Source organism: Homo sapiens, chromosome 3 (assembly GCF_000001405.40).
Source record: "Homo sapiens chromosome 3, GRCh38.p14 Primary Assembly".
Classification (NCBI taxonomy): Eukaryota; Metazoa; Chordata; class Mammalia; order Primates; family Hominidae; genus Homo; species Homo sapiens.
Window position 1 is genome coordinate 156,650,818 of NC_000003.12, and position 12,856 is coordinate 156,663,673.

General features: G+C 39.6%; 1 annotated feature.

The window, feature by feature from the left end:
- Nucleotides 10,659-10,708: an enhancer, noted in NCBI's record as "active region_20730". NCBI's record gives its function as "activates an Ori minimal core promoter by ATAC-STARR-seq in GM12878 lymphoblastoid cells {active_cell/tissue: GM12878}" and the evidence as "EXISTENCE:reporter gene assay evidence [ECO:0000049][PMID:35858748]".

Below are 12,856 nucleotides of genomic sequence, written 5' to 3' on the forward strand. Positions count from 1 at the left end.
CAAATCTCATTTGTAGGTATTTATCCTAAATAAATTAAACCCTACATTTGCTTATATTAGTACATGAATGCTTACAGCAGCTTTATTCATAGTAGTCAAAGATGCAAACAACCCAAGAGTCCATCAACAGATGAACTGATAAACAAATAACAGTAGTATATTACTCAACTGTTAAAAGAAACTACTAACACCTGCAACAACATCAGTGATCTCAAAAAAAGTTTACTGAGCAAAAGAAGCTAGACGGAAAGCAAAAGAAGCTAGATGGAAAGAGTACTGTTTGAATCTATTTATATGAAATTATAGGAAGGAAAATCTATCTAATCTATAATTAAGCAGTTTAGTGGTTGCCTAAAACTAAGGGTTATGGGTCAGGGAGCACGGACTGCAAAAGGGCTCAAGGGAACATTTTAAGGTGATGAAAATGTGCTATTTCTTGATTATGCTATGCATGGTTGTAGTCACTTGTTAAAATTCATTGAATCATAACTTAAATTGGATGCATTTTATTGTATGTCAGTTATACCTCAGTTAAAAAAATTTTTTAAAGTTGCACACAGTGGTTAAGGGTACATACTCTGAGTGTGTCAGCCTGGGTTGGAAACCCAGCTCCAACTGTTATTAGCTGTGTGACCTTGAGCAAGTGACTTAACCTCCCTTTGCCTCAGTTTCATCACTTGCAGCATCAGGATAATAATAATTGTACCTGCCTCATAGGGTTGTTGTAAAGATTAAATGAATTAATATAACTAAAGTGCTTAGATAGTATTAATATTATTACTGGTGTTTTAGTTGGTCGACTGGCCTCCAGAGGCACCAATTTCTGAAAATGGGCCACTCTCTCCATTGTTTATTCTTTTCATCTCACATTGTTCTCATTGCTTATCTCTAGTTTCTAACAGAGGGTTACACCGGTGGTAGATACTTGATAACTATTTGTTTAATGGATGAACTATTTCTTAATGAATAAACATTTATTCAACATATTGCATGAAAAGTGCACCTGATGATAGAGTTTCTGTTTGGGGTGATGGAAAAGTTTTGGAAATAGTGGCGATGATTGCATAACATTGTGAATGTTGCTAATGCTACTGAATTGTATACTTAAAGTGATTAAAATGGCACATTTTGTTATAGATATTTTACCATAATGAAATAAAAAGTTTATATATACCTAATGGAAAAAAAACCCTACAGCTTTTTGTTCCAGCTGTGCAGAGGCTTTATAACCTCAGAAGAGTCAATATACTTGTTTCATCTTGTCTATGGCTAAAACATGCAGGAAAATGACATTCATTTGTAAAGTTCTTTAAAGTCTTAAGGTGGTAGATGTTTGTGAGCATCTCGACAGGAAAAAGAAGTGAAATTTGGATCTATTGTGAGACACTTTAAGTACCAAAAATGCTTGATCTATCAAGCGTTTGTCTAGTAAGATAAAATTGCCACCAACTCCACTACAGCTTGCTTCCCACACAAAAGCTATAAAAATATAGAAGATTCTGCACCTGTTAGCAAAATTATGAATTGAAATATCTTGAGTTCCGGTGTTAAGTTGCTCAATAACTATATGATTAACAACCTTTATCTTCAGAACTTATGTAACATGATTTACCTGAATATCTTTTTTTTTTTTACTTTCTTTTTTTTATTATTATTATTATACTTTTAAGTTTTAGGGTACATGTGCACATTGTGCAGGTTAGTTACATATGTATACATGTGCCATGCTGGTGCGCTGCACCCACTAACTCGTCATCTAGCATTAGGTATATCTCCCAATGCTATCCCTCCCCCCTCCCCCCACCCCACAACAGTCCCCAGAGTGTGATCTCCTGTGTCCATGTTCCCCTTCCTGTGTCCATGTGATCTCATTGTTCAATTCCCACCTATGAGTGAGAATATGCGGTGTTTGGTTTTTTGTTCTTGCAATAGTTTACTGAGAATGATGATTTCCAATTTCATCCATGTCCCTACAAAGGACATGAACTCATCATTTTTTATGGCTGCATAGTACTCCATGGTGTATATGTGCCACATTTTCTTAATCCAGCCTATCTGAATATCTTAAATACCTCTATAGAAACACTGATTTTGCTAATAATGGTCAGTTTTTAGGAAATGTTCTCAAAGAGGCAGCTTGAAAAATATCATTAGTTTGATTATTTCAGACCCGTCTAAAGCACATGGATGAATGTTCATCTTATGTATATAAAATATTTACATATTCTTCCTTTCCTTGACAAAAATTACTTCTTGAGAACCCATGCTGCCTGAAATGATTAAAATTACATGTACATGTTCAAAGGAAGAACAAAGAGCTTAAGTAGCTAAATTAGTTTGGACTAGTGTGTAGTGTTACTTCCTACCATTAAGGCAGGATAAAAAGAAATACAATAGTTTCACTAAAAACGAAGGTTTTGTTCATTTTTTTCTCTTCATTTCTCTGTTTACTGCTGCATGACAAGTAGAGAAAAGACGAAGCATGTTAGAATCCATGGCAGAGTCTGCTATGTATCTTGGCTCTGGTAGACTATCAAAACCTCAATTAACTCATTTTCAAAATACCGCTATGATAGAAGTTTCTCTCCCTCAAGGAACCCGATTCACTTATAGTTACTAATCTGCAAAAAGGCACAGGGAGACTTTCATGAAGAAAAAAGATACATATGGTAAACAAACCTATGTATTATTTTCTTTACAAAATACACAAGCTAAAGCTTTGAATGAAACACCAGGTGGGGGTTGGCAAGATATTTTAAATATTTCCAAAAGCTCAGTAAAAATGTTATTGACATTAAAACAAAAGTTCCTGATCTTGCTTTTGGCTTGCATTGCTATGTTGACTAAATGCCCTAATTAGGGGTTATATATGTCTAATTGGGGATTACATATGATTTAAAGTGAAAAATAATTATCACATGGTAAATGTAGTTTGTTTAGTAGGCAGATGGTTTCAAAAATATGAGGTCCTTGTGGGAAAAGCATAATGAACAAATCCTTACTGATGAAAATGTTGGAAACCATGAGCCTGTACTAATCATTTGGCAATTAATTGTCTTCTGTACTTCGGCTGCCAGTATTTATTATTTATATCTTAACTTCTGCTGAAAGCATTTACATAGTCTCACACTACATACTGTTCTGTCAATATTTTGATTATTTTTTAATCAGCCCTATGAAATCATAGATCTTTAAGGAAAAGGAGATATAGATATCTATAAGAACATTCTGTTTTTCTAACAGGCAGTTTCTGGCACTTAGTGAGTGGTTTCCCTTTGTCCTCCTCGCTGACCAACGGGTTGTTGGTAGAACTTTTCCAGTCAGATCCGTTCATTGCACTCATTCAACAAATACTTACTGAGAGCCTACTATGTATCAATTGTTGTACCAAATGTTAAGTGTAGTTAGGCAAAGGAGATATATATATATATATGGAGTAGGCAGAGAGTGTTCAAGGAAAAGGGAACAATTTATGCAAAGCCTTGAAGCAGGAAAAAGCTGGGCTAGCCTCAGGAACTGAAAGGACAGCAGGTTTAAGCTCTGTGGGCAAAGAAGAGAACGGAATGAGATGAGCTTGGAGAGACTAGCAAAAGCCAAATCATGCATGGCCTTGTGGGCCACAGTAAGTTCTTAAAAGTTTACTCTCCAGCTGTTCTCAGTGAAGATATTGGGGCAGAGTTGGACTGAAGATGTCAGGAAGTATATCAGAGAAATCAGTTTGGAGGCCATTTCCAGAGTCCAGGTGTTGGCTTATATCAAAGTGGTGAAAGGATAGTAGGAACCAGAGAACTTACAGATGAATTAGATGTGGGAGATGAGGGAAAGGGAAAGATTTCTGATCTGTATGAAATGGAGTGCCGTTTACTGAGCTGGAAAGACTTGGGATTGACAGAGCTGGGAGGCTTTCAAGGGAATCTAGAGTTTGATGGAGAGTATGTTATGTTTGAGATGCCTGAGAGACATCGAGAGAGAGAGAGAAATAGAAAGAGAAAGTTTGAGTTACTAATTACATTTTCAGGTCTGGAGCCTATTAGAAATATAGTTTATCAGCATATATTGATAGTATTTAAAGAAATGTCAGAAGAACTCTATATTTTAGAAGTTGAAGAGAAGAAGACTATATAGAAATAGCCAAAGTAGATGGGAAACTAGATGGGTAATGTACCAGAGGTCAAGAGAGGAGAAAGGTCAGCTGAGAAGTATGCAGCTTGAATGCTGTTGAACAATGAGCATGAGGACAAGCAAAGAGACTATTCAGTTGCATGCTACTAGGGTCACTGGAAGCTTTAACCAGGCAGCTTCAGAAATATCTAGGATGCTGAAGACGGATCAGAGAACATGGGAGAAGTATAGCATTTTGAGACAGCACAAGCAGACAACTGTCTTTGGGAGTTCAGGAGAGTACATAGAAAGAAAATTCAAGAGGAGGAGAGAGATTTGGGGGAGGGAGTTGGAGGTGAGATGTGAACTAAGTTTTTAGGTATGATGAGCTTCATTCAGGTAGCTGCAGAGCATCCAAGTGAAAATATCTTACAGAAGGCTGGATTATGACTTGAGAGAGAGCTTGGAAAGCATGCATGTGTAGCCAAAGCTGGGATAAGAATCTTTAGCCCGGCCGGGCGTGGTGGCTCACGCCTGTAATCCCAGGACTTTGGAAGGCCGAGGTGGGTGGATCACAAGGTCAGAAGATAGAGACCTTCCTGGCCAACATGGAGAAACCCCATCTCTACTAAAAATACAAAAATTAGGTGGACGTGGTGGTGCGCACCTGTACTCCCAGCTACTCAGGAGGCTGAGGCAGGAGAATCACTTGAACCCAGGAGGCAGAGGCTACAGTGAGCCAAGATCGTGCTACTGCATTGCAGTCTGAGTGACAGAGTGAGACTCTGTCTCAAGAAAAAAGAAAAAAAAAATAGAATGTTTAGCCCAGATCCGCTTTTGACATTACCCTGTCTGCTCCTATAGTCCACGCTCAAGGTCCTGACATAAAAAGGGAGATTCAACACAAAACCCCTCTTCCAGGCATAAGTCCTGGACTGCTCTGCTCAGCTAGCAACCATTGGCTCTATCTTCTCTCTAGAATCTGTAAGCCACTCAGTCCCTTACCTTGCCCTTTGACTTTTTTTTTCTGCAAGCTAAATTTCTACAAGTAGCATTTCTGGACCACAGTATGTTTTGATCTGATGGGTCACAGGCAGCCGTGCACCCTCTTAGGGACCACTGGACGTTGAAATGGGATGTGGTATGTTTCTATGTTCTTGCTCTGAATGGCACCTCACTTCTGCTTGGTTTCTGTAGGCTTTGCTAAATAAATTAGAAATTTAATATTTCCTGGGATCAGTTAGTGTGGTCTGTTGGGCCATCTGTGGCCCAAGACTTTCCTTCAATATTAGGGAGAGGAGAGAAGTTATGAAAGTCAAAGGAGGTGGGCGGACTTTTGAAAGTGGAACCCATTATGTATGACTGCTGAGTTTTCTCAACACTTTTGTGAAAATTGGTTTAATAAAGATTCCTCATGAGAAGTGCTTTCTCATGAAAGTAGCATACAAGTATATTTATAGGCTTATTTTCCTTTTTTCAAAATAACTTTAGCATACACCTACTCAAATAAGCTACCAGTCTCATATGAACTGACTCATTTGTCAATAATAAATGCAGACGCCAGTGTGGGGGCTGACTACTCCATCAAGAACACGTAAAGTATATTGTGTTTTTAGCTTAAGCATGTTGGGAAGCAGTAGACTTTTCTTTTTCTTGTTGTTCTAATGGCATCTGCTGACTCAAACATGGTTTCTCTGTCCTGAGACAGACTAATTCATTGCAAAGGGGACAAAAACACAACATGGGCAGAATGTAGGAGAGATGATTTATGGCACACCAAGAAAGGAATATCTCAACTTTATTGTATTAGTTTCCCAGGGCTGCTGTAACGAAGTATCACAACCTGGGTGACTTAAAACAACACAAATGTACTGTCTCAGTGTTGTGGAAGACAGAAGTCAACAATAAGGTGTCAGCAGGGCCGTGATTCTTCTTAAACCTATGGAGGAATCCTTCTTTCTCCCTTCATAGCTTCTGGTGGTTTTGGCCTTCCTCGGTTTACAACTGCATAACTTTAATCTCTGCCTTCATTATCACATGGCATTCTCACTGTCTGTCTCTGTGTCTGCATGTGGCCATCTTCTTATAAGGATGCCAATTATATTGTGTTAGGGACCCATCTTAACTGATTACATATATTTCCAAATTATCATGACTCTATTTCCAAATAAGATCATATTCTGAGGTACTAAAGGTTAGGACTTCAATAGATCTTTTTCAGGGGAGATACAGTTCAATCCACAACACTCATATTCACAAAAAGAAAAAAAATGAAAAAGAATAGTTATGGATAATGGGTTGAGAGGCTAGTTGACCCTATTACTGTTCTCAAACTACTACTTCTTTACCCTCATGTAACAAAAAGAAAAAAATTGCTTCCTGGGTATTCCTCCTATTTGGCTAAATTGCCCTCTCTTCCTTTCTTCAGGTAGATATGGTTATGTACCTATTTATCACTTACTACTCACCACTAAATATTGGGTAGAGGTTCTCAAATTTTGTTGTGTATTTCATACTACCTGAGAACTTGTTGAAAACATACAGAAGCCCAGGCCGTATCCTACTTCAATAAGCCTGGGCCCCTCTATCTTCTAATGGCTCTCTAGGTGGATTCTAATGCGCTCTAAAGTTTAAGAACCACTGGCCTTGGGCTTGCAGTCTTTCAACCCCAACCTTTGCCAGCATCATGGAAGAATTCATTATCTACAAAGATGACTCAGCCATCACCAAGTCTTCTCATACCTTGCCTTCTTCACCCTCAATGACCTTCTAGTCCACTCCATCAGAGCCAGCTACTTCCACAGCCACACTCTGGACCTTGTTATCATTATTTTACTAAACTGATGTGATCAGTATTATAGTGAATGAACTGAATTTTATACAGCAGAATGATAATACAAGTTTTTTTTTTTTCTCTAAATCACTCTATTAGTCCGTTCTTGCACTGCTATAAAGAAATACCAGGGACTGGGTAATTTATGAAGCAAAGAGGTTTGATTGGCTTATGGTTCTGCAGGCTGTACAGGCAGCATAGCAGCTTCTGCTTCTGGAGAGGCCTCAGGAAGCTTTCAATCATGGAGGAAGGCAAAGGGAGAGCAGACATCTCACATGGTAGGAACAGGAGCAAGAGTGGGGAGGTGCTATGCACTTTCAAACAACCAGATCTGGCAAGAACTCACTCACTATCTTAAGGATAGCATCAAGAGCAGTGGTGCTAAACCATTCATGAGAAACCACCACCATGATCCAATCACCTCCACCAGGCCCCACCACCAACATTGGGGATTGCAATTGAACATGAAATTGGGGCGGGGACACAGATCTAAACCACATCAATCACCCTTTTCCAACTCCTCTATAGGCTAGTTGCTTTTTTGTTTGTTTTCCTTGTCCCTAGTGCAGACTTACTTTCCTGGCTTCTTTCAGGTCATAAAAATTCTCCTGGTAACTCAGCCACAAGAATGGTCTCAGTTCAGTAATTAAAATGTTCAATAAAATTTGAATGACACTCATAAAATTTGAGCCTCCCCACCCCCATCTTGTTGCTGCAGCAGACTGGAAAACCTAGGGGGTGGGGAGAAGGGATGGAAATACAGACGGCTGCTTCTTCCGTCTCCTTGCTCTCTGTCCACCCACACCCACCTTCTTAAACCCCCAATTAACTACCTCTGTGCTTTCAGGGTTGGATCAGGAAAAGGGAGGAGAGGTCATCAAGGTCCCACTTGGTAGGCACAGACACAGTCACCTATGGCAGCCTCTCGGTATGGCAGAATCCTGTTGCTCACTCTTTACTTCACTGGGTATTTTTGTGAATTTCAGGGAGATACTCCCCTTGGAACATCCAACTATGCTCCCATTGTGAAGGCAATGTCTCTCCTCAGGCTGGCCCTCTACAATTCTCTCCTCAGCCCCTGGCTATCTGGTGGCCACTCCCTTCCCTGTGGTCACATACCCCCTCCAGCCAGTTTTGGAATATGAGGTTGCCCCAGGCAAGCTTCTCCACAGGCCCACATCTGGCTCAGGAGAAACAGTCACCCACCCTTGCCTCACTGCTTGTGGATGTGCAGTTTGCTCCCAGTGCCCCTGCCCACTTCTCCCCTTTCCTCCCCACCTTCTCTAACCTGGATGATTTGCACAGAGCTACTCGTACCAGTCCTTAATGCTCTTCAAACTCCAGAGGCACATTTAAACCTCGTCAGGTGGTTTCGATAAAGTATCCTTTTTATTTGAGCTAAGGAGACAGGAATGCCACTATCTTTGCCTGGGAGAGAAGGAAAGAAACACCCAAGGCACTCCAACAATTCTCCAAAGAAAACAGGTCCCCCCTATTTTCCCCCTCATCACTAGCCCTCTTCTACTACTAATTCCCTCCCAGGTTAGATTTCATGGTACATACTTTCAGTAACCTCCTTGCCAATACCATAAATTCTCTTGTCTATCTTTTCCTCACATCCATCTGGAAAAACCTCAATCCTGGATGAACTCAACAGCCCACACTCTCCATGCCTGCACCAAGGCAGCTGAGCCACTGGCAGCTGAAGTAAGAAACACAAAAGGGCAGGCTGAAAGAACTATAATTTTAAGGTCAGTCACTCTGGGCCCTCCACACTGCCAACAATGCTGTTATAGTTATTTGGCCAGCTGGCTCTCTTAGTCTCTGCAAGAGCCATCTCAAGTCTTCCACACTCTCTTCAACCTCTAATCCCCTATTGTGCTGTTCATGCTCAGAAAATGCCTCACCTTTTATTTCTTGGAGACTACAAAATTAAATAACTTCTTCCCCCTAGCAAAGTTACTATCCAACCTATACCTTCACCCATCCTATTCTCTTTCCCTCCTGTTAAAATAGAGAGGGTCTTAGTGCAAGACCAACTCCTCTGTTTCTTATTTGGATCCCATCCCCTCCCACCTTCTTAAGAAGCATACGCCACTATCTCTTCTCCTAGCTTCAACCTCTGTCTTCTGGATTCTTATTAGTATCTAAAGACAGTAAAGTCTCCCCATCTTAACACATCTGTACACTTAGAATTACTTCATATATGAAAGTTATTTAACCATCCATATTACCCTATGAAGTAGATATTCTTTTAGCCCTAATTTTTAAGAGAAACAAGTTCAGAGATATTCCATAACTTGTCTAAGATCACATGGCTGGTAATTAAAATGAGATTCAAACCCAGGCGGTTTGATTCCATAGCCTTTTCTAGTCTCTGGATTCCCTGTTTGTTTTTATTATCTATTCTTTTTTTTTTTTTTTTTTGAGACGGAGTCTCGCTCTGTCGCCCAGGCTGGAGTGCAGTGGCGCGATCTTGGCTCACTGCAAGCTCCGCCTCCCGGGTTCACGCCATTCTCCTGCCTCAGCCTCCTGAGTAGCTGGGACTACAGGCGCCCGCCACCACGCCCGGCTAATTTTTTTTTTTTTTTTTTTTTTTTTGCATTTTTAGTAGAGATGGGGTTTCACCATGTTAGCCAGGATGGTCTCAATTTCGTGACCTCGTGATCCACCCGCCTCGGCCTCCCAAAGTGCTGGGATTACAGGTGTGAGCCAGGGCGCCTGGCTTATCTATTCTTTCTTTAGATTTTCTATTGCGTTGTCTTATCTCCTTATGATCTGCTTCCTTCCCACCCTCCCACCCCTAACTTTTATTAAGATAAACTTGAAAGTGGCAGAAAAGCTGCAAGAATAATACAATGGGCTACCTATATAACCTTTTTCTAGATTCACACACATAACTATGCATATATGCATATACACATACATACACAAAGGCAGTTACCCAATGACATGATTCAAATTTCGGTGACTATGCCTACTAAATGTAATTACACAAAGTACAAACTTCACTGCAAGAACTTCAGTCTGCCAACCATTATGTAATTAACAAATGTGCATCATCATCAATGACAGTGACCAATCATTCACTGCTTTGAAAATCTGTCAGCAATTGATCACTGCACATCTGTTTTTCAGTTCATGCACAGACAGCAAGGCGTGAAATTGTGTTACTTCCTTGTCTCCCAGTGATAAACTCACAAAATATTTTACAAAAATAGATATTAAAGGCCGGGCACGGTGGCTCATGCCTGTACTCCCAGCACTTTGGGAGGCCGAGGCAGGTGGATCACGAGGTCAGGAGTTCAAGACCAGCCTGGCCAACATGGTGAAACCCTGTCTCTACTAAAATTACAAAAATAAAATTAGCTGGGCATGGTGGCTCCTGCCTGTAATCCCAGCTACTCAGGAAGCTGAGGCAGGAGAATTGCTTGAACCGGGACCTGGGAAGCAGAGGTAGCAGTGAGCAAGATTGCACCACTGCACTCCAGCCTGGGCTACAGAGCAAGACTCTGTCTCAAAAAAACAAAACAAAACAAAACAAAACAGATATTAGAAAGAGGAAATTGGCCAAGAAAAATGAAAGTGAAGGAAAAACATGAAAAGTAGTAACACTGGATGTGAAATTCAGATCAAACATAGAGTTACAGAAACGATAGTTGGCTATGGCAATATTGACACTGTGATCATTAGAAAGACTCTAGGTATGCAGTCAGGGGAACTTAGTAAAGGTGGAATTATTGACATTAATGAAGAAAGTGGCTGTGACAAAAAAGGATGAAGATGTCCCAGAGGAAGTGACATTGCCAAAAAACTTCACAAAAAAGTAGGTAGATTGATACAATTAGAAAATCTCTTTAGAAACATTTCACAACACTGAAAATGCAAAGGATAAAATAATGTAAGCTAATCTAAACTTAGAAAGGAATATGATGATTTGTGAAAGTGGAGAAAAGATGCTTCATCCATAAGATAAGTTATATAATCAGAAGAAGCAACACTGTTCAAATTATTCTTGGTAAGCTTTTTATTGTTGATGTTGTTTGTTTGATTGTTTGTTTGTTTTTGAGATGGGGTCTTGCTCTGTCACGCAGGCCGGAATGCAGTGGCATGATCATGGCTCACTGCAACCTCTGCCTCCTGGGTGCAAGCCATACTCCCACCTCAGTTTCCTGAGTAGCTGGGACTACAGGCACACACCACCATGCCTGGCTAATTTTTGTATTATTTTTGGAGACACAGTATTTCATCAGGTTGCCCAGGTTGGTCTCAAACTCCTGAGCTCAAGCAAACTGCCCATCTTGGCCTCCCAAAGTGCTGGGATTACAGGTGTGAGCCAGCATGCCTGGCCTTTGGTAAGTTTTAACAAAGAAATAAAACACTTTAATCCTCAATATTTCTAATGTTTTAAATTACAGTGCACTAAATACAAATTAGTTTTGTGTTTTTTTTTTTTTTTTTTTTACAATTTTCTGCATTTATGACTGACCGTAAGAGTGTTCTTAATGTTTTGGTAAACATTTTTAAAGGTGACAGAACAACTGTGATTTTCCCCATTGATTAAGATCACTTTGTAGTTTCAGCTTGCATGGTCATTTTTATAATCTTGTACTACCATATCTTTTTACAGTCCTGCAAAGTGAAGACTGCATGCATATGTATAGATATAGATATTACAGAGCCATTTGAAAGTCCTCTACATATAAAAGGATGTTTCATTTCCTACACATTTCAACATGTATCTCTTTTAAGAACAATGATATTCTCCTACATGATCACAATATCTCTCTTATCACACTCAAGAAATTTAACATTGATACCACAATATATCTAATATTCAGTACATCTGCAAATTTATTCAATTGCCTAAATAACATCCTTTATAGCATTTTAAAATATCCTGTATCTATATTAGGTTTAGGCATAGCTTTTACTTTCCTTTCATCTAGAATAGTTCCATTGCCTTTTTTTCCCCTCTCATGACATTGATAGTTTTTAAAGAGTTCTGTAGAATGTCTTACTATTTGGATTTGTCTAATGCTTAGGTTTAGATTAAATATTTTGGCAACAACACTACATAGATGATGGTTTGTCCTCCCTTATTCATTAATATCAGAAGGCTCGTAATGTTCATTAGTACCATCAGTATTCATTTTTAAGTTTGATCATTTGGTTAATGTGATATGTGTTGGATTTCTCTATTGTCAGATTATCTCTTTGTGTTATTAATGAGTAATGTATAAGGAGATACTTGGAAACTATGACTATTTTCCAACCTCTCACCTATTGGCATTAGTATACATTGATAATCCTTTCATTGTCAATGAAGAGCCATCCCTGGCTCTTCAGTTTACCTCGTATACCATTATTATTACTTTTGTGATTCAAAATGGTGATTTTCCAATTCTATCAATCTGTCCACATTTATTAGCTAGCATTCTTCTATAAAGAAAAGCTTTCCCTCTTTTTTTGTATCCCCTCCCTCTCCCTTTTTTTTTTGTTTTGTTTTTGAGAAAGAGTCAGGAGTGCAGTGGCTGCGATCTCAGCTCACTGCAACCTCTGCCCCCAGGGTTCAAGCGATTCTCCTGTCTCAGCCTCCCAAGTGGCTGGAATTACAGGTGCACACCACTATGCCTACCTGATTTTTGTGTTTTAATAGAGACAGGGTTTCACCATATTGGCCAGGCTGGTCTCAACTCCCAGCCTCAAGTGATCCACCCACCTTGGCTTCCCAAAGTGCTGGGATTACAGGCATGAGCCACCATGCCAGGCCCCCCAACTTTTTTTGAGTATTTTTATAGACTCATGGATTTTCTTTTTATTCACTATTTTTTAATGAATTACCATCATTATTCTTTTTATCATTCAAATTGCCCTATTTTGGCCTGTAGGAGGACCTTCAATTTGCTTTCTTTGTCCTTT